This window comes from Homo sapiens, chromosome 9, assembly GCF_000001405.40.
Source record: "Homo sapiens chromosome 9, GRCh38.p14 Primary Assembly".
Lineage (NCBI taxonomy): Eukaryota > Metazoa > Chordata > Mammalia > Primates > Hominidae > Homo > Homo sapiens.
The window spans coordinates 74633086-74656457 of record NC_000009.12 but is presented as its reverse complement, the minus strand read 5'-3'; the positions used below and the strand labels follow the sequence as shown (position 1 = coordinate 74656457).

The 23372-nt window shown below is 38.6% G+C and overlaps 1 protein-coding gene across 2 annotated transcripts in view; it reads right to left on the bottom strand.

The window, feature by feature from the left end:
- The window catches only part of RORB (RAR related orphan receptor B), a 195843-nt gene that overhangs the window by 36720 nt on the left and 135751 nt on the right, over positions 1 to 23372 (bottom strand). For both annotated transcript variants that reach the window (NM_006914.4, NM_001365023.1), the window contains exons 3-4: positions 21686 to 21827; positions 13643 to 14044 (exon numbers count right to left, since the gene is read on the bottom strand). In NM_006914.4, the coding sequence (NP_008845.2) occupies positions 13643 to 14044; positions 21686 to 21827 (544 nt within the window). The remainder of the gene's footprint in view (positions 1 to 13642; positions 14045 to 21685; positions 21828 to 23372) is intronic.

The window sequence follows — 23372 nt, the reverse complement described above, 5'->3', positions numbered from 1 at the left end:
GGCCTTGGTTTTTGTTTTAGAAAGGTGACTTTAGTCATGGCAAAGATGAGATGGCATTAGTGAGTACATGAAATTAATCAGGCTGTTGTGAAAATTCACACCAGCTATGAGGAAGGTCTGAACTAGGTCATAATGACAGAGATGGAGTGGAGGAGCTACAGTCAAGACAATTTTGAAGGAGAATACATGGGACCAGCAGATGTGGCACCGAGACAAAATATTAAATATAGTAGGTGCTCAACCAACGCTGAGTTAGTGAAGATAATGTTGAAGATGTCCATCTGTCTATCCATTCTTCCTTCCTTCAGTTGTCTGCTTTATTTCTCAAAGGATTTATAAGAGTTAAGATTGATCCTTTGTTTGATGATCTTAAAGCCTAAGCACTCAGAATGGCTTTGAAGTCAAATGGTAAGCATGCAAAATTATTTTCCATATCCTTGTGGTGGGAAATACAAGTCAAATCTCTTTTATAAATAAGACTTATTACGAATGGCAATGAAGGCAAAAGCACAGTAGCAGCAATTGCAGACACATTCCTCCACCACTTTCTCTCACTATTCTGCAGTGCAGAGGTGAGCCATGTGCAAAAACCGACTTGACCCTCTCAAAGCTCAGCTTGTTACAAGACGCGGTACAGCTAGACTTGGTCTCATGGGAGCAAGACTGGAGGGCTCATTCTGTCAATTAGAAAGATGCTTGAATGTCCAAGGAGATGGTTTGCTTAGACTGAGAGTCTGCAGTTGTGAAAAGAGGAGAGGGATTTAAAAAGAAAGGCCAAAGGAGAGACAATGAATACAGTATGCAAAGTTTCTGTTGGGAGCCAAAGGAACTTTCAAGAGTCCTTGCTTGGAAAAGTAGAAAAGGTAATAGTAAATGTAGTCCTCTCTAGGGACCAACCACATGAGAAAGTCCAGACAAAAGGGACTGAGGTAAAAGAGCAGAGGATATGGAATCTTTCTGGGCAATCTCACATCCTTCATCCGTTACCCTAACTTGGATTGCAGCTGTTTTCAGCTCAGTTTTTGTTGGCTTCTTTGACTAGCTTGGGCTGCAGATGGTACATGTCGAAGAAGAAGTCAGTATGCTCTGTGCTGGAATAGTAAGTCCAACAGGAATATTGCCCAGATAACTAACTGATGGGAAATTCTACCACCTCCAAAGGTGATGCACACAAACTCTACACTCTGCTCTTCCTGAGACCACGGATGAGGCTGGAGATTTCTTAAGTGGGTGTGAAAGAAAACTTGTAATGAAAATGCAGCTACATCTTCTCAGTAGTTAAGATTCCCTACATGTGTTCAGTGAGACAGAGGTTTGTTCAATTTACTAAGAGTATGTGGGCTGCTTTGATAGTTAATATAATGATATAGAGGAAAGAGAAAAACAATTTTATATGCTCAGTCTGTCCAGTCATTCCTTTTAATCATGATAAGGCAAAAAGTGAACATTGATGCAGGCAAGGAAAAATTGGGTGTGTATTGCAGGTTAATATTAAATCCACATTCCTCATTTTCTATTTGTTAATTTCATGAACAATCACTTGCTATCACTTTCTCTCTTTCTCTTCCTTTCCCTTCTATATTCTCACATGTATAAACACATAAAACTTTTTCCCCCCAAAAGTTGCTGTTTTGTTTTCAACTTTGACCCTGATACTATTCTTTGTGGAAGGCTTATTGGAATCCAAGATTTATATTCAATTAACAGAATTTATAACTTTATATATTGAGCAACTTTATGGGATAGAAATGACAATGTGTGAATCAAATAAAAAGAAGTCTCAGAAAGTTTTAAAATAATTGATATTGGTAAATATACTTCTGCATCACTTTGATGAAAAAATATTTTAAAATATTGTTAAAATTGTCAAACCTCCCTAGAAGTCTTAAGGGTAATCTTTACTTTTGATGTGTGCAATAAGAAGAGAGAAATTAAATTTTTGAAGGGAAAACTAGAATAAAATTGATGGTAATTCTCAATAGTGTGTGCAATAATTATAGAACCCTGGGGCTGGACCTAACCTCCTTCCTCCATTTCCAAATGGACTGTATCTAAATAATCCTAGAAATTAGCTGAGTCTCCTTACTCTCTCTCTCTCTCTCTCTCTCTCTCTCTCTCTCTCTCCCCTGAGACTGTAAAGGACTTCTACATATCCTACCCCATCCTCAATACTCTTCATTGTGATCTATTAATAAATCAAAGAAGTAAGAAAGAAAGTCCAATGTAAGGATTTACAGCATGATTGAGATGTGCGTGATAAGGTTTATACAAGTAAATAGAGTTTTAAAAGGTCAATTATATCAGACGATGTAAAAAGGTGTAAGAATAATATTTTGAAGCAATGTTTAAAGAAATATATGAAAAATAACTTCTCTTACATATTGATCCACACAGTTAAGCAAAGTTTGGAAACAAGTCATCCAAATTACCTAATTCTATGTAGAAAGAAAAAGGGCTACATCTGCTTATTTTGGTGAAAAAGAAGTAAACTGACAAGCAAGGTGACGATGTCTTGTTTATAACTGTGATGTTATAAAATGAGGACCAGCTTGCAGTTACTAAAATAGCAAGTGACCTTCTGCAGCTCTGATTTCAACCACTCAGCGGGTTTTTTTTCCACCAAAGCGGCTTATTTTACCTCTCACTAGATAGACATTTCAGCAAATGGCGCTCTCCAAAGGCTACAATGTCTCAGACACGGATTGCACGGGTAGTTTCATTAGAATGCCACATCCTGGGAGTGGGGAAAGTTGAGTATATCTTTAAAAACTGCTGCTTTCGGTGTTATTACCAAGAGCACCGGAGGCCCAACTGCATGCACCAAGGCAAGAAAGCTGAGCCTCAGAGCTATATATAGCGCTAGAGGGTGTTGCTCCTGAACTTCGTAATTCTCAGCTCCCACCTCCTCCCTCTTTTTTTCCTCCTGAGAAAGAATGGTTTCTTCTTGGTGAACTATACCCTCTATTCATTTTTCTCCACAAGGGACTTTTTTTTTTTTTAAAGTTGGAAGTATTCTTCCTAAAAATACCGTATCTCAGCCTCAAAGTGATTAATGAATTTTTAATTTGTCACTTGCCTTAAGGATCTAGAGTACCACTGAATTCTCTGTTTAGTTTATACTACTAGTGCGAAAATGGAATTCTTAGGAGATTCACTGTGAATTAGTGGCAGGATATCTCTATGGACTTGCCCAAGGCATGTTTTAAGTGCCTACATTAGGTTTTCATAATATCAAGATTTCTTAGAATCTGTGCTCTTAGGCAGTAACTAAAACATATTAAAACACTTGGTTGAAAGGTGAAACATTTAACCAAATGCACACACAATTTTCCTTTTTCAAAACAGACAGCCAGTTTTGTTTTCTGTCATTAGACAGAACAAGTCTAGTGGTTTGTCACTGATGGCAATGTCAGAAAAGACAATGTCATTTAAAGACCTTTCTGATTTTTCTAATCCCTATTTAGAGATCATTATTTTTAGCATAAATAGAATTCTGCTGTCAGAATAAAACCATTGATATATTTAAGCTTAAAACAGTAATCTATTAGTGATCTGTAGATTCGGAGGAAGAGTAGGAGATTTAGCATTTCGTTTCCTCAAGTTTTTTTAAGCAGAAATTGGGGGCATCAATAATTTATAACTTATTTGTTGGCTCAGTTCATGGTCCAACCACTCATTACTTCCCCCTCAATTAATCAGGATAGCTTTCAATCTCCTTTACATGCAAATTCTATTGCCAACTGACATATCAGCGAATGGCATAACTGATTTTTACTTCATGCAGACCTGAATATTCTAAGACCAATTTGCTCCTAGAGTTCTTCAGAAAAAATATGTTGACAAAATGTAAGATACTATGCTAACTTTTAAAAATAATAAAAATATAATAAAACACAATTCAATAAACTATGAAATGGAAAAAAAATTAAAAAATCAGATTAATGCAAGTAATAGTAATAGCTGGGCAAAGATTGAATGAATAGATTAATAAAGTGATTAACATTTTCTCAAATTTTAGGAAGCTCAAATAAGATAGCATTTTTTTTCTTTTGAGTTGGAGTCTTGATCTGTCGCCCAGCTGGAGTGCAGTGGTGCCATCTTGGCTCACTGCAACCTCTGCTTCCCTGGCTTAAGGGATTCTCCTTCCTCAGTCGTGCAACTAGCTGGGACTACAGGCACGAGCCACCACACTTGGCTAATTTTTGTATCTTTTAGTAGAGATGAAGTTTCACCATGTTGGCCAGTCTGGTCTCAAACTCCTGGCCTCAGATGATCTGCCCGCCTCGGCCTCCCAAAGTGAGCCACCGCGCCTGGCTTCAAGTAAGATAGCATTTTCTAATAAAAGGTAAGAAAGCAGGGAGTAAAGCTGAAAGAACCTACATAGCATTTGTGTTTAAACAGAGTATATCCAAAGCAGGGAAAAAATTACAAGCAGGAAAAACAAGTTAACTATCTAAGAGGGTGCTTTCTTTATTTAACAACAGAAAGCTGTTTTGGATCAGAAGCATTTTGCTGTATTGCAACAGTGTGTGTCTAATTTTTTGGAAATTACAGTTTCCTTTCTTGAAATCAGTTGACGAGAAAGAATCTATTGTTAAAAGATTACATTTAAAAGTGAAGTTTTACAGTAAAAGATCTCCTTCACAGAACAGTCAGAAAGATTAATTTACTTAAATGTCCTGCAGTTGATGAGTTTTAAGGGGGTTATATAGTAAGACCAAGGAAGCCAACATGGTCCCTTTCAGTCTTTTAGTTTGTGCTTTTGGGGAAGTCGCTTAACCTATTTAACTCAGTTTTTTGGGGTTTGATCCTCCATCTGCAAGAGGATTTGGCATCAGCGATGTTTTCTAAGGTCTGTGTGAAGCTTGACAACTTGAGTCTGGAGAGGCTACATGAGAATTTTCTTTCCTTTTTTTTTTTTTTGAGACAGAGTCCCACTCTGTCACCCAGGCTGAAGTGCAGTGGTGCAATCTTGGCTCACTGCAACCTCTGCCTCCCAGGTTCAAGCAATTCTCGTGCCTCAGCCTCCCAAGAAGCTGGGATTACAGGCACGTGTCACCACACCTGGATAATTTTTGTATTTTTAGTGGAGACAGGGTTTCTCCATGTTGGCCAGGCTGGCCTCGAACTCCTGACCTCATGTGATCCACCTGCCTTGGGCTCCCAAAGTGCTGGGATTACAGGTGTGAGCCACTGCGCCTGGCTGACATGAGAATTTTCTTTGTTGTGACGCATGGGGGAGAAGCCTTGCAGAGTTACAGAAGGTGAGAGTATAGTTTACAGGCTTACAAACACTTGAAGAGTCTTAGATAGGACAAACCAAAACAGCAAAATCCAGAGGCCATGGAAAATCTTCCTTTAGTCTTCTTAAAAACTGCACCTCCACACGCCACCAAAGGACAACCAATGGGTCACAGATGATGAAATCTCATTATGAAAATTGCTCAGGGCCATCACTAGGATTGATTTTCACCATTTGAATTTTGTTGACATATGGATTGATTGTTAATTTAAACAGATGCAATCTCTCCCCCACCTCACCACCCTTTTGGATGTTTAGTCAATGCATTTCTGACCTTTAGGAAGAACTAATTTAGAAGTAATCTTTGAAGGTCATTTTTATATTTTCTAACACCCTAAATTTTAAAAAGTACATGGTAATTTAAATAATGCATTTAATTGACTAAAGCTTTAAAATAGTGGTTTTTGATGGTTCCTTATTGTGTCAAATTGTTCCAGAACAAATCTTGCTGAAAACCAAATAGCAGTTCCCCAGTAGGCCTCATAAACATGCCTCAAATTTAAATAGCAAATTCATTCTCCTCAGTATTAAGATTATGTTTTCAAGAGAAAGCTTACCTTAAAAAATAAATAAAATAAAACAAAAATTGTTTTCCAGTTGGGACAATTTCTAACAGGTTTCCCCACATTTGCAAACATCACAGAAATAAATCCTGTATTGGTTAGCAGAGAGCACCTGTTAAATTGGTTGCATACCACGCTAATCACACCAAAGTATGCTAATCCCCATCAACCTTGTGATCAATTGGCGCTTCTGGGTTCCATAGCCCATGTGGTATTTTAACTCTTACCAGCTCTTCCAAAAATGGGTGCTTGAAAATGTGGCTAATACATTCACCCCAGCCAGTGGAAAAGTAATTCAGAGCTCTAAAAGCCAATGTCAAAGCTTGCAATGCCTTAAACGTATGGCTTCTCTGCAGTATAATGTCTTGAAATACTATTTAATGTGGAAACTGTCATTAGGGACTGATTCTGAGGTCACTTCATAAGTAGAAACATTCCCTGCTCCTCCAAGTCACAGGCAGAACCTCCTGAAATCTCCTTTCCTTTTGCTTACTGTAGAATATTTTATAATTACTATGGCTTTTGAAATGGAGTTGGCTTTCCAGTAGCTTCTCAATAAGATTTTGTTGTTGTTGGTGGTGGTGGTAGATTTTAGAATCTTCTTATGAGGTTCTGAATTCTAAGGCAAAATGTAATACCTAACTAGTATCTCCAGGAGAAATACACTGAGGAAGATAAATTTTGCATAGTTTCAACTCAAAATAAAAACGGTGCTTTAGATGAATGTAGTCTAATGAATTGCTAGCACATTGGGAAAACTGTATTGACAGAGGCACAAGCCTGTAGTGACTGATATGCACACATGTACTGTAAGTAGATATGTATGTCTATGAGTACTTGAATTGAGCATATATGTGTGTGTTGTTTGTGATGTAAATCATATATTTGTTTGGAAACTGGCTGGTTACAAAGTGCTTTGTATACATTCTACCATTTATTGCAGTTGTGGGGAAGCACTATACATGTTACTAGGTGATTGTAGACCATCTTTGCGGGGTTATTAGAGGATACCTAGAAAGATATGGATTCAAATAACCCTAGGGATTAACTGTACAGTCCGTGGCTCCAGGTATCCTCTACGATAATTCATAGTCATAGACTGGTTAATACTATAGATGTAACCATGGTAGAGGTCCTAGGAATATGACAAATTGGCCCCAAACTGGGAGAATTCCTTTTTGAGATAGAAAGCAAGATTTTGGAAATAAGCAGGCTTTGGGAGATATTCTGTGGTTGGCACAGAACAAGGTGGTGCTAAAATTTCAGAAGAGTCAAGTAAGACCCTCTCCAATGACCCAGGTGACTTAGGTAGCTTGGTCCCTCAGTAGTCAAGAATATCTTCTGCCGGGCATGGTGGCTCATGCCTGTAATATCAGCACTTTTGGGAGGCTGAGGCGGGTGTGTTACCTGAGGTCAGGAGTTCAAGACCAGCCTAGTCAACATGGTGAAACCCTGTCTCTACTAAAAACACAAAAGTTAGCCAGGCCTGTAATCCCAGCTACTTGAGATGCTGAGGCAGGAGAATCACTTGAACCTGGTAGGTGGAGGTTGCAGTGAGCCAAGATCGCACCACTGCACTCCAGCCTGGGTGACAGGCAGACTCCGTCGAAAAAAAAAAAAAAGAACCTATCTTCATTTTATGAACATATTTGCTTTTTCTTCAAGAGGAGCTTGGAAGTGATCAGGTTGTAGTGAACTAGGGAGGACAGGTGCGTTTGCCCTAAAGCGGCATCTGTACAGCAGCTCACTCTTTAATTGGATTGTACATGAACTTGGAGTGATTTGGGATTGGCTACTACCCTTTCCTTGAGCTGCTCCTGGTTGTCCTTGACATTCATTTTAATCTGATTTCTTGTTTTTATTGTTTTGTTTTGTTTTCAGGAGGATGGACGGAGAGAAGAGGCTAGTGCACGGTTCTGATTTGACAGTGGTTGTTAACTGCATGTTTGGCTGGGTCATTTCACTTAGTGAAAGCCCCGAGTATCGTCCTGCTCTCCAGGAGGGAAGTGTGCTGGCTACTGCCATGGACAAGTTATTCAGCATCATTCAGAATTGCTTAGTTGCTTCCAAGTCCCCTCCTCTCTTCTACCCTACTCTTATCTGTGTGACGTGGCTATAACAAGGGGGGAATATTAATGCACATGACCAAAGCTCCCTGGAAGATGAGAGAACCATAGTCTTTAAAAGTCATTTGATCCAATTGTCTTATTTTTCAGATGGTGAGACAGAATCTCAGACAGCTGGACTAATTTTGAATACATTCACATGGCTAGTATGCAGAGTTAGGACCCCCAATCTCAATGTACTTTCCCTAAATTGCCTGCAAAGGGTGTGTGGTTGGGGTGGGGGTGAGAGAGGGGTTAGATGACAATGAAAGTTCACAAGATGTCTCCTCTCAAGGCAAGGAAGAAAGAGCTAAACACTGAATTTTCCTTTTCCCATATTGTTCAAGTAATTTTTCTTGCAAGTTTGGTCTACTTCTATCTGTTTTAATGATGTATCGGACAGTTACCTCTAAATGGAATGCCTACCTGTATTTGATACAGGTTCTATCACAGGACACAGGAAATATATAGCAAGAGTTAAGTTCTATTCTCTGCACCATTTCTGCATGGGTAGTTAGATGTGCATAATAGATTTAAACAGTATAAAATATTTATCCTTAAAAGCATATGCCATTAAAGATGCTGCTTTAAGACCAAAGCATCTGCTTGGGGTTCTTAATAAGCCACAATTGAAGCACCACCACTTTTAATAGAATTCTGCAAAATAAAACACTACTAGTAAAATCTTCTGTATTTTTATGTAGCCTTAATAGAATGAAGTAGTACATTACAGGGACTAGATCGCTTTTAGGCCAATACCTCTTTGTAATCTCCTTTAACTATTAATACTCAGTTTCTGTAATAGGTGAATTTTTAAAAAAGAGATTTATATTTATTTATGATGCTTAACATTCCAGGTTCTATAAATAGAACACGAAAGCAATATGAAAATAAGTCTGTGTTAAAGACAATATAAGAAGGGATCAGTTAATTCACATTTCATTGTCTTTATCTGGAGAGAAAGTTACTGAATAGAAGAGCAAACCATGGTGATGTTTGTAAAAGGCAATGTACACCCTTAGCATTGTAGCTAATTTGATGGATTTTTTTAAATATAAAAAAGCATGTTGTTTGGCTGTTTCAATTGTCTTGTTGTCTGAGACGTTGTAGATACATTGCCAATCACTTCCAGCTTAAATGAGCTTTCATTAAGAGTATTAGTCCTGCAGAATTCCCCAACTCATCTCAGCTTGTTAGTGGTGGAGCAAAGACAAGATGTTCTACTTTCCTTTTCTGCATGTTTGCGGAACATCTTTTAGCTAGCTAGCTTCCTCTCCCTGCCACCAACCACTGCAAAATGTTATCCCTAAAGATGTAACACATCCATCACGCCAGTTTGAAGTAAAATTCCAGCTAAACCCAGTTAATACTGCTGTCTAAATATTAATTTTCGGCTTACTTGTTGCCATTCTTTCATTTCATGGCTTCTTTTTCCTATGGTTTTAGAAAAACCCAAGGATGTAACTCCTGAAATGTTTCATGGTTTTCTGTTTGCTTACCCACATTTTATTTCTATTCTCAAAACTAGGGGAATAAAACATTCCTGATAAGAGATGTGGCTCAGGTTGATCAATACTTGCCGTCTCCCTCACCTCCAGAAGAGTGTGGTAGCATCCCGCCCAGAACGTATACTTAGGATGTGGTGAATTGTCGTGACTATTTATTTTCGTGGTATCTCCTAGATGGTGAGGGCAGAAACCTCGTTCTGCTCTTCTCAAGTGTATGGCACATTTCAAAAATAGGTATTTGAAGAAAAATGCCTGGCAGTCTAGGACAGTGACTTAACCTTAACCTTAGAATTTAAGCTTTATCACTTAACTCTCTGTCCTAGGAATATCACTCACTGTCTCAGACTCTCAATTTCTTTATCTGTACAATGAAATGGTTTCTTCACTGCTCACCTGAAGGAACTGGTGTGAGGCTCAAAATGACTAAAATGCATGAAATGATTTTCTACATTTTTCTCCATATATCAAACATTATCATTAGAGCCCTTAACCTAGGAATTTTGTAGTTTCGTTGGTGAACTTTCAGCAAGACAAGTTTGTTTTTTTGGGAGAGTATTCCTGACTCTGCTAATATTCAAAAACTGACTTTTTGGGATCTGCATGCAGTTGCTCATATAGTTGTGTTATGGTTCTTACATGTGTGTTTTTATCAAAAATTTCAAACTCATGAGATCTTAGTCTATATGGACTGGTCTAAAAACTGGTTTTTAAAAGCGATCTGCTTTTAAGATGACCCAATATCAGAAGCATAATGACCTAGTTGCATACATTTCATTATTCTCTTAGAATCCAGAGGAAGCAGATCAGGACTTCTGGTAGCCAAGGGTGATGTTAAATTTTTTTTTTTTTTGGTGTGACATAATCTCAAATTCACCCAGTCAGGATGTGGCAAAATCTGATTTTCTGTTTTATATGCATAGGGTTTTTTTCTATGGCAGCTTGCCACCAACCAGATTGGTTTAGATGCCCATTAATCAAATCAAGTCAAAATGACAGCGTGCATACTCTGAAAGCTCCAGTTTGTAGTGCCTAGAAGGAGGTCAGGTAGGCAGCAAACACCAAACCTGTGTTGTGGTGAGAATGGCAATCAACTTGTGAGGAGCTGCCATTGGTGGGAGGAAATACAGTATAACGGTTAAAAGAATGGGTTTTGATGTTACTCAGATATGGGCTTATAAGTGTTCTTTGCTTTTTACAAGTTATATAACTTCTAAGCCTCGATTTTTCCATCAGTAAAATATACAAATACATAACAGGCATAATGGGATTGTTATGAGAATTTAAATAGGACTTGCTCATCACAGTGTAGGTGCTCGATAAAAGGTAATTATATTATCTGCAATAACCAGTGATACTAATAGTCAATTAAAATAACAGTTATATTATTAATAATAATGGTGCTTACATATGATAGGTACTGTACTAAGAACTCATAAATATTAACTCACTTAATCCACACACACAGATAAAGACTATTATTGGCCTGGGTTAACAACTGAGACTCAGAGAAGTTAAGTAAATTGTTTAAGGGAAAAGGCACAATTGGGTTTTAAATGCAGGCACTTTGACTCCAGAAGCAGAGTTCTTAGTCACCACACTATACCACAGATGCCTTCCTGCCCAGTGATACTGTCAAGGATTTAATATTTTAGTGAAATGAGTGTCAATGTTTTGGACGGTGCAGGAAAGACAGTATATTATACTATTGTGGCTCTTCATTGGTACCTAGATTCAACAGTCATAGAATGGGTTTGTGTCCACTAGGTGGCATTGCTGTTTTAATGAAATGTGAACCAAACCACTATTTAGGCTTAGGGGTCTCCTAAATTTGAGAGCACTGGCAGGACAGCCCATTTGCATCCCTAAATGTCTGATGAAAAAAATCCTCCAAAATTTGAAACATATTTAAAGATATCTAAAGACTAGAGGTATCTTGAAATAATTGAGTAAAATATACGCGAGTTTATTTTGCATGTCAATGTCTGTGCAGAGTGTCTGGATAAATTTTGAGATTCTCTAGTCCAGTTCTGTCAGTTCACAGAATAGACTCAGGGTCAGAGAGGAAAAATGACTTGTTCAGGGTAACGCAGACCTGATGGTTTGGCTGTAGTTCTCTTTCCATAATATTTAATGTGGTTGCTAAATCATAAACAAGTTATGATTTATTAATTCTTAGAAGACTCCCCTTTTGAATATAGGCCAGAAGATTGCTCCACTGTTGTGAGTTTTTGTTTTATAAGGATTCAAACATATCTCTCAAATTAATAGTAGACTCAGGAACTTAGATATTAAGTAGTATAAATGCAAAGGAAGGTGCCTTTTCCCTCTTGAAAAGTTTGAATGACTATTTTAAATGACCGTCCCTATTAGTTGACAATGCAGTCTATGAATTGAGACCCATGGCAGGTAGCAGGTTAACAGAGGAGTGGAGGGACTCTGGAATCAGACTGTCTGAGGTGAACCCTGGCTCTGTCATTTAGTAATTATAGGACTCTGGGAAGTTATGAGACATCTCTAAGCTTCGGTTTCAGCATCTGTATAACAGAAATACTATTTTAATTTATCTTTTAAGATGTTCGTGAAAAGTAAACGTGTGAAGGGCCCATGATATAGTAAAAACAGTTAAGGATGACAGTAATAATTAACTATTTTTGTTATTTTAGTTGATGTTTCTTTTTTTGTGTGTCTCTCAGCTGTGAAAGTCATTACAGGTGCTTTGTCAACAATGTTACTCACTGTCACATGCTGCATTGCTAAAAGGGAGAAATAACGCTTCAGGTTTATAACTGTGTAACATTGCTTCTTCCTCAACCAGATGGTACAAGTAGCCAAGAATATGGCCATGTATTTCATTATGTGTTCACAGCAGCTTAATTTAAAACACTTGTAGGCTTTAGGCTCCTATTTGCAGGTTAGACAGAGAAGGTGACCGAGCATGTAGCATAAAACAGTAATAGCTAAGAGTTATTGAGCACTTCCTGAGTGCCAAACCTTGCTATGGTTTACACGTATTAACTCATTTAAGCTTTACAATGTCCCTGTGAGCTACAAGCTAATGCTTTCCCCCTTGTAAAGATGAAGGAACTGGGATTGAGAAACTTGCTCCAGCTTAAATAGTAAGCCAAAGAGCCAGGATTTAAACTCAGGTAGCACAGTTCTTAATTGCTCTGCTCTGCCACCTCTTTGGGCAGAGCCCTTGAAGAAATGTAAAGAGCCCTTGAAGGTTCCTGAGCTCTAGCCTGCTTTCTCCAGTACACTAAATATTGCAGTGAAGCCTGGGATCACATCGCCACTGTTTGCTTAGCTCTTCTAGCCTACTGTTAACATGCAACCCTGTTACCCAGGAGAGTAATGTGTTAAACCTACTTCAATATTTTTATGGCAGTTAGTTGATGAGATTAACTGGTTAAACATTTAATAGACTCCTGAGTTCGATGGAGTAAAACAAAGTTGCAGTGGGTCAGAAGAGAGCTTGCCTAAGGCAGGGCACTCTTGAAGATCGCTCCTTAGGAATCGAAGGAAAGAGGATCAGCTTTCTGATGCAATCATGCCTATGACTAGCTTATTTGTTGCTCTCATGTTCTATAAGATTCCAGACTACACTCTTTTCATTGCTGTAATTCAGAATCCTATATGGAATTCTTGAATTCAGATTTCCAAGAGCCTTGGCGGTCTTCTGGTCTATCGCCCTGACTTCACCAAGAAGGAAGCTGAGATACTGTTTGCTTAAAGTTTGTCCCCATTTATCTTAGAGGAAGAGTTGGGCCCCTGTTCGTTTGGTTATTCCACACTGTTTCTATATCCTTCAGCAATTTCACTTTGAATAGCATCAACTTTGAATACATGCCGAAATTTCCCTGTTTATACCAATAACATTTTTCCTTCAGTGAGAACCCAAATTCAACAGATAGCATCTGTTCTTTACAGATAGCATCTTTCTATTTATAATTTCTTCTTTCTTCCTTTGCTTGAAATAAACTTTTATGGGGTGGGGAAAAATGACATTTATTAGAATATATTTAAAAATCAATTTGTTTTCTCAGTAGAAGCTGTGAATCCAAGTAATTCAATTTAAGTCTTAAGAAAATTACCATACTAAATAGGACCAAGGTAAATTCAAAGCAAAATCTCAAAAAAAGCCACTGGGAGGAGACTTCCACTTACCGATTTCAGTCATGGTTATCCCTGGTGCTAACTGCCCATTGTTGAAAGAGCTATAGGTAAACAAGTTGGGTACGGATGTGAGGTCATAGATAGGTTCTTGCTTTATCTGTTTGATTCCAGTCATGTCAAGTCCTGACTGATCAGGGGACGGCTGACCGGAATCGACGTTGTAATAACCCTCAGACTTGGGCAGGTCAATGACGTGCCCGTTGGCATAAGTGCCGCTGGTCTCGTTGTTCAGGTTGCTCAGGCCGTTGCTAATGCTGCTGCTGTACACCCTGGCAAGGGCTTCTGCCTCCCCACTCTGCTGCTGCCGCTGTTCCTGCAGCCGCTGCTGGTGCTTCTGCACCTCAGCATACAGGCTGTCCCTTTGCTTCTTGGACATCCTCCCAAACTTCACAGCTGGGTTGGAGAGAAAAGCAGAAAACAGCACTTGTGGTTATCATTCGCGTTAACCACCTCAGGTACAACGGGTCATGGGATGGTTGTCCCTTCAACTTCAAATGCACAAATGTCTAGCACCATAACTTAAGAACCCATTCATTTGCACTCCACATCTGGGGAAAGGTTATATTCAGAGGGTACCTGTCCTGGTTTATGCCCACAGTGAGAAATAAATCTAAGCCAGGAAGAAATATAAAAACTTATGTATGTATTTCTCATTGCCATGAAGTTAGAAAGCATGTTTTCCTCTTTTTTTCTTACCTGTGGAAAAAAATGCAAAAAACCAAAATACCAAATTAGCAATAGTACCCGCTATTAAAATGTTAACCAACACTCATAACTAACTTTTCTCTTAATCTTTAGGATTACTAGATTGCCAGATTGGACCCTAGTATTTCACTTTCAAATCTATTTTCTGTTTTCTTTCTCAAATTTCTTTTTATTTTTTATAATAATTTTCTTTAAGAGACAGGGTCTTGCTCTGTCACCCAGGCTGGAGTGCAGTGGCATGATCATAGCTCACTGAAACCTTGGGCTCCTGGGCTCAAGCAATCCTCCCACCTTGGCCTCCTGAGTAGCTAGGACTGCAGGTGCATGCCGCCAGGTCCAGCTATTTTTTTTTTTTTTAATTTTTGTAGAGCCGGGGCCTTGCTATATTGCCCAGGCTGGTCTTGAACTCCTGGCCTCAAGTGAGCCTCCTGTCTCGGCCTCTCAAAGTGCTGGGATTACAGATGTGAGCCACTGCACCCGGCCAGGCCGATTTTCTAAATAGTGTGTTGGGTAAGACCGAAGGCATGGGGCTGGGTGATAAACATAATTTTAAGTGATGGCATCATTTGCCTTCAGTTGGCTTTTGGGATCAAATGATAAGATTCTTTGGAAAATAGCAATTTGGGGCATCCAATGCCTAGCAAGTGACCAAAACAGTAACTATCTTTTCTCATTCTACCACTCCCAAGTTTTATTTTTCCTATCTCTTCTGGCAATATTCTCAGCAGTCTGAGGAAAAAGAAGGAAGAAGTGCTGCAAGTAGTCACAGGGTAATATCAAGGTGCTTTCATTTCAGTGTGTTGTTTCTTAAGATATTTAACCTCCTGAACTGTTGTGAATATTGACATTTCTCCTCACAGGTTGTCAACTGCCTTTTTAGGATGTGAACATCCTGAGTCACAGGCCTACCTTGTTTGAATTATCAAGCATTGTTCAGCTCATGTTAATAGTGGGGGCTACCACAAACTTGGAGGCTCCTCCCTGAGTTTCTGTTTGCTGTTCTTTTGTGACGGTATTCCCACCACCTCTTGGTGTTAGGAGCTCAGAGAATGGAGAAAGAAGGAAATGGAGTTTAGAAAAAGGCTCAGTTCCTGGATTCAATCATGAGGGTTGATGCTCTTCTGAGAATATCTAAATGGTGAAGTGCTTAAGAACTCTCTAGCACAAAGGGAACACAGAAGAGATTCCCACAGTCTGAAAGAGCTGCCATTCACCCTCCTCCTCCAATATTCTTCCAAAATTCATTTTCTTTTCCCATTGGGTACAGAGCTACCATATTTATCTGAGCATAGGCTGATCAGAATGGAGACCGTAATTCCTAAGCCCCCTCACTGGCAGGTATGTGCAGGTGATTAAGTTCTGATTAAGGGGAAGTAAATGCAAGTGTCGCATTCACTTGGGGGTATTGGGGCATGTTTTCCTCCTTCTTGCCTGCTGGATTGTGGATGTGAGGGCTGGGTTTGAAGAAGCCAAACTCTTTCTGTATCTTCTTAATCCTTCTTAAAAACCTACATTCTAGGGCTGGGTGCGGTGGCTTGCACCTGTAATCCCAGCACTTTGGGAGGCCAAGGCGGGCAGATCACGAGGTCAGGAGATCGAGACCATCCTGGCTAACGTGGTGAAACCCTGTCTCTACTAAAAATACACACACACACACACACACACACAGAATTAGCCGAGTATGGTGGTATGTGCTTGTGGGCGTGGTGGTGTGTGCTTTGTCTTCCCAGCTACTCGGGAGGCTGAGGCAGGAGAATCCCTTGAACCCAGGAGGCAGAAACTGCAGTGAGCCGAGACTGAGCCACTGTACTCCAGCCTGGGTGACAGAGGGAGACTCTGTCTCAAAAAACAAAACAAAACACAACAAACCAACCAAGCAACCAACCCCTACATTCTGGCTTTCTGATACTGCCTAAGTAGGAAAACAAAGTGATAATTATCTAGTAATTTTTACTGTGTGAAGACAAACAATCTGACTCATTCAGACTAAACTCCCCTTTCCATCTTAGTGGTTGGTTTTACATGGTCTTGAATTATTTAGATGGTTGTTTTTAACTTTGTTTGTAGAGACACTACCTTTATTAGATTCTGATTCTCATAGACAAATTTATTTGCTTACTAATTGCAGTGACATTTCCAGTTTGTCTATGTACCGAATTCTACAGTAACTTGTAGGGCAAGCTTCCTCTGTATCTTTATATTACATCTTTCTAACCAATTTATTACAAATTATTCTCTAGGGGAAAAACACCTTTTGTATAGGGAAAAAATAAACAACTATAAATATTGATTCAGAAAGAACTTCCCCTTCTCCCCCAGGAAAGTAGAGCTCTTTATTTGCTGCCCTTCTGCCCTTTGCATTTGGGTAGGTTCAGAATAGCTCTTTGTTGTAGAGTTATGGAAGTGAATACAAGGTTTGTATCCATTGCTATAGATCAAGATTTTTGTTTTAGCTAGGGTAGATCTACTTTCCGACTTATTTTAGTAGAATAGTTTTGCATTTTATTGGTTCAAAATTTATAGGAATTAAAGATTGAGAATAAGAAACTCTTCCAACACAAAAACATAAATTTGTGTTTTTTTTTTTTAAAACCCTTTTCCATTTAATCCTTGCTTTAGATTTCTGTATACTCTGTATTTAGGTGAAATATACTTTGTAGATGACTGATTGCATTAATGACCCTGATTCCTCTTGTCTATTTCTTTCCATGCCCTTCCCCATGTCAGTTTGCAGTGCTCTTTCATTCTTTGCAGGCATCCTGCCCAGGGTCATGTGACTTACTGTGGACCAATGGAATATTGACAAATGTGACACAGCAGAGACTTGAAAAAGGCTCGTGTGATTGTGCACCTCACCATGACAAGGACATGCCTGAGCTATCTTGCTAGAGGATAAGCTTGCTGGGGGATATGTGAAGCAGAGCCAGACCTCCTTGGTCATCCCAGGCAAGGCCATCTACAATCAGCAGAGCTATAGAACTGACCTGCAGCTGATGGACACAGAAATCTGCTGTTAACCACAGACATCATAATCACAAGCTAACAATGTCAAAAGAGTATGCTGCCAAGACCTCTGCCATGGGTAACATCTAAAAACTCAACAAAGAAAAGCTCTGCATTTTTTACAAAATTGACTTATCAGGTCACTGAGCAACTGAAATATTTCCAAAGAAACAACTTAAAACTACTACATTTTAGAGTTATTTCAGGTATGATCCTAAATCAAAGACTTCACTGACAATGACTGTAATACTATTCTATAATTAATTTTCCATTTATTTCAGAAACATTGATGAGCCAGTGTTTCAGTTTTGTGCCTCTTCTTGCAATAACAGTGGTGACAAATTTGGGAAAAAAATTACAGTACATGGCAAAAATAAACCTACTGACTTTCTTGACATAATTCATTTTCACTGTTTGTAAATACATTTGTTGTATGCATAGAACTATTTTAACAAAGGCCATGTTAATATTTCAGATATTAGCATTCTTCTTATCACTACATATTAATCAGACTGGCATATATTTTAACTGTCTGCCCCTCTCAAACTTGAGTTATTCTGTTAATGACATTCACTTGAGTATAAAGACAGCCTTTTGTTAAACTGCTACCTCTTAAAGAAACCAGCACAATTCTGTATACATTGCAAGTGCTTATAAATATTCAATGATGTGGTATTTGCTCATGATATGCTCTTAACCCTCATTTTGATCCCATAATACTAAAGAACAATTTAATGTGAAAGTATCGGAAATCATTTTATATTTATTTGAATTGTGGTATTCTAAATGGAATAGAAGTTTTGGATATAACTAAAAAGTAAAGTCATAGCTCCTTCAAAGATTTCTATTAACATAGCACATGGACATGTGTTTTTGGTTTCAAGAGAGCCCAACTGACTATCAATCTATGACTTTCTATAAATTTCCAAAATCATTTTATCTACTACCTTCGGTTGTAAAGTTCTCTATATTTACATTTTGCTGCTTACCAATGAAACTGGTCTCAATTTAACTCTTTTCAGCTTCAGAGATGTGCCTCTTCTGCCACCCTTTTTTTAGTGCTGTAGGCTTTGTATTAGAAGTCTGATTCAATCTACCCAAGCCTATTCATTATTTTAAAATCTCTCTCTTCTCCTTCCTCTTTTTCTCCGACAGAACTCCTTGTGATGTTGAAATGTTCTCTTTGCTTTCCAATATGGTAGCTGCAAGCTGCATGTGCCTAATGAACACTAGAAATATAGCTAGTGTGACTGAAGAACTGAATTTGAAATTTTATTTAATTTAAATTCATTTAAATTTAAATTATTTAAATAGTGACATGTGGATTGGGCAATGTAGTTCTGGATAGAAGCTTAATCTGTGAAACCTGTCCTTTTAGGGCAACTTCTGTCTTTTTGTAGAGACATGCCACTTGGGAGGACATATACTAGTGAGTATCAATTTATAGTAGCACAATTGGAAACAGTTATCCTGAAGATTCCTTTGTAAAGGGTGTAGGTAAAAGAAAAAAATAAAATGATGGAGAAGATTCAGTAGGCTTATGCATGCTGCCAATTCACACACACACACAGACACACACATGCACACATGTCTTCACCTTTTTATACACATAAAGACACACGTATGTGTTTCCAAGTGGATTTGATTTTTGATTCTTCGTTTAAGCTAAATTTGAACAAATTCATTATTGATAAATTTGATGGCTTCTGATATATTCGATAGCTAATAAACCGATATAGCAGTGAAATTTCAGGAGAGAATGAAAATCCAGTGTTTTCAACAGTTATTTTAAGCTATTTCCTAGTGGCCACATTAAGCAGCCAGGTATGATGAAATAAACATTCTTGGAGCCTAATTGACAGAGAGCAAATGCATATACCAAAATGAAGATGCCACTTTATCTCTGAGGGAAGTAGGGGGCTGTAGAAAGCAGTTAGGTATGAGGGCACCTCACTTTGGCTATTGGTACAATTTCTAGAGCACTTTAAGAATACTTGCTGAATCAGAAGAAGGTAGGGATTCTTCTGACTCAGAAATAACCGTGTCTTTCATTCTTGAGCCTTTACTAGACATAGGTAATCAACCATAATTTCAGGGCTTTTGAATCATTCAATACTACATACTAGGCAATACTTATCAATAGGAGGTAAAACCTATTCAGCTTCCCTGGTATTAGCATAATTTACTTGGCATAAGGCACCCTTTCTAATCAAGGTTCAGACCAAACTTTCTCTGTATGATATAGTGAAGAGGCAGCTTTTTCTCTTAGAGAGAATCATTTGTTTTCTCTTCTGCTACAGCCCCTTCTTCTCCAGATTCCCCACCCCACCCACACCCCCGTGACCATTTCTCCTCATGATAAATTTCACATAAGATGTGCTTAGGAGGCATTTTTGAAGATGTCCCCGGCAGCCTCAGGATTGTCTCTGGACCTAAAGTTGAAATGAATCATTATTCTTAATCCTCAGTGTCCTTAGACACTATATTGCTCTTATTTGCATAGAGGTTTATGTGCTGCAATGAATTCCTTCCTTCTTGAGAATAAATTGTGGCTCTGTTAAATGACCCTCCCATCCTCCCGACACATTTCTTTTATGTTACGGGATTCAGACCGTCTAAATTTTGTGGGCTGATGTCACTAAATCTGTTGAATCTGCCTTGGATCATATATTCATCTCTTGCCCATGATTCTGTTCACCAGCACAGACTTAGACCTGCTCTTCCAGAAAGATACTTCCTTTTATTGTAGGAAGAAGTAACAAAATCAAATACCCTATGGCTTATCTCTTTGCACAATTATTAATGGAGCTTTTCGGACACTGCGAATTAAAGTGCTACCTACTGCCACATGGTAGAAATGAAGTGCAAAGTCATCAACTCAGATTCCCATATAATTACACGAAATAAGTATCAAAAACTACTTAATCCTCTCTCTTAATTTATTTGCCTTGATTATACAGAAGTACCCATTGCTATAAATTTATCTTAGGAGTAAATATATCTGGTTAGTGAGCCAAGTAAAACAAGTAAAACAAAAAAAAATCAGTTAATAGAAAAATTTTGGAAACCTCGTCTCTGTAGCTTTGGAAGCTACCTATAAACTGAAGGGTTTCAGGTCAGATTCTGTTTTTTTTTTTTTTTTGGTCAAATTTGTTTTATAGGTGTACTTTTCTGCAGGACAAGTTTAGATGGATTGGGAATTAGAGAAAAGGTAAAGAATCTAATCACTCACAAAATCCCTTTATACTAAATGTATGCCAATTATTCACATTTCTTTAAAATTTGGAAGTTTCTTGTTTTGTGTGTGTCTATACAGCCTTGAATTTCACTAGAGGGAGTGCGACCAGAGGCCCAGAATCCACACTGACTGACATAAAGACAGAAAGTGTCAGGGCATTGTCTATGTCTTAGGCTCTAGGTAGAAGGGATTTCCATAGTTTATTCAACAAACATTTAGGTGTGTGCTTTTAAGCAGAGCCTGATGTTTTAGTGGGAACAAGACAGAAATGGCCCCAGGATTCAGGGCCACTCACTGTATGATACAAGGGTGATGTGTCCAATGTCAGCAGGGAAAGAATTACTTTGGATGAATGAATGAAAACGGAAAACAAAGCTAGGTGAAATTCTTCGTTCATCTTGTTTGAGTTTATTTGTCCTCTTTCATTACTCTAAGATGTTCCCTTGGGAAGCCAAGCCATTCAGCATGGGTGGGCGTCAAGGTGGAGTGTAGAAGGTATGACATTCTGAGGAAGACATCACCTACACAGCCTTTCTAAGACTTGGACTTCGCTCTAGCCTTTGGAAACTTCATTATGGGCTCAGATAGTCCAATTCCTCCTCTGGGTAGCTATGACCAGCCAGCAGGACTTCCAGGCTTCCCATAGAGGCATATGCAATTCCTTAGTGTCTCCACACAGTAAGCAAGCCCAGTCAGACCTGCCCAGTGAACATACTCAGATGTGGTCCTGGTTTGCTTAGGACTTTCCGGTATTATCTCTGAAAGTCTCATGTCCCAGGAAATCCCTCATTTGCAGGCAAACCTAGACAGATGGTCACCTTCAACCTAGGCCTATGTGGCTTGCACTAAACCTAGTTAGCACAAGTTGCTCCCTGAGCTATGGTAAAGTCTTTGCTTTCTTATTTCATAGGCAATGCTCTATTTTTGTATATTCTTACTTTTCCTTGTAATGCACTAGCAGCACAGTGATTTTCTTTTCTTCTTATCCCCAATTCCCTCATCTAGAATTCTTCCAGCAGCTTAAATAGACTCCAGCAAAGCATCCATTTGAAAGGGCTTAAGTAAGAAACAGGAAGGTAATGTCTTACCATCTCTTGACATTCCTAGGGCAAGACACTTCTGCAGTCGGCAGTGTTGGCAACGGTTTCTGTTCGTTCTGTCAATTAAACAGTTTCTCTGCCTTGGGCAGGAATAAGAAGCATTGTTCTGCTGGCTCCTCCTAAAGAATCCCTTGAGGGAAAAAGAGAAGGGGAGGGAAACAGATTTATAAGAAGGGAAACAGAGAACATTAATGTATACATTTGCTACATTTTCTGCAGTGAACATAACTGAGTTTAATTTTTAAAGCTCTTTGGATACCTCTTCTTGTATGGCTTGCAGATATTTCTGCTGGGGAAAATAGATGCTATCTGCAAAGATATGAGGGTATCATTCATTTACCCATTCATTCATTCATTCATTCCTTGAATCAATGTTTGCTAAAGACATTTGCAGCTGTGCTGTTCTATGCAGAAATAAACAGAAGTTTCTGCTCCGCAAAGAGCAGTGGGGAAGGAGTAGCAAAGGAGATTACTAAACCAAACATGACAGAACTTGATGGGAAAAATCACACAGGTTTGTGTCAAGTGCTGTGGTGGTGAGGAACTTGAAGTATTGGTAAGAAAAAGCAACACTGAGGAGTATGCACTACTGTTTTCTTAGTTTCTAAGATGTGTTTTTCCCCACCATAAAATTTTTGAATTTGGCTCGAATGCAGCTGAAAAGTGTCTTTTTTTTTTTTTTAACTTTTTGAGGTGTCTTGCTATGCTGTTCACGCTAGAGTTCAGTGGCTATTTGCAGGCAGGATCATAGTGTACTGTGGCCTCAAACTCCTAGACTCAAGTGATCCTCCTGCCTCAGACTATAGCTGGGACTACAGGTGTGTGCCACCGTGACCGGGTCTGGAAAGTTGTTTTTAATAATCAACCACACCATTGAAAAAAGAAAATATTATATATAAGCTGTCTAACAACAAAAAGTACTAAGTAAAAACTGAATGAATGGTCTCTACTTAGCCTCAGGCTACTCAGTGTAAGATGTCTTCATGCAAGTACATTTGGGTTCATCAGGTAAAAAATGAACTGCCAGTGACCATACACTGCTTGTCTAAATAAATCCACAGCTGAGTTGATTTTTAAAAGATTTCTCCTTAGTTGTCTTATAGAAAACTCTATTGGGGAAAATAAGCATTTTCTCCAGAGATAGATAAGTTATCATTCGTCCATTCACTGACTCATGTAATCGATTTCCCTAATTACTCTTTGCTTTTGAATTGTCTAGAGCAAAAAAGGAAAAGTGCAATGTGTCATGAGCAAAATCATGGTCTACATTAAGCTTTCTAAGAGAAATTTTGGGAAGAGATATCCCATAGCATCATCTTTTGGATGGAGAAAGTCTAGAAAAGTTCAGGAATGGTAGATTCAATGCCTATCTTGCAGAGAAGCCTGGAATAGATCCCCTGACTTCCCTCAAACAGCTTCTGTGTTTCCTCAACTATCTACAGGATGAACAAGCAGGGCCAGGGCTAGGTACGCCTAGTGAGGCAAACACCTTGCCCACAACATTTAAAGGTCGCCTAAAATTTTTGTAATTAGAAAATACAATATTTTAACACAATGTGTTAAAAATCTACATTAATGCAAAAATACCCAATAGTTTAAAGAAAGGATCTGTGTTATTCATTTTCCTTTTGTCTTCAGCTCCAATATGGCTCAGCGTGGCACTGGTGAAGAGAGC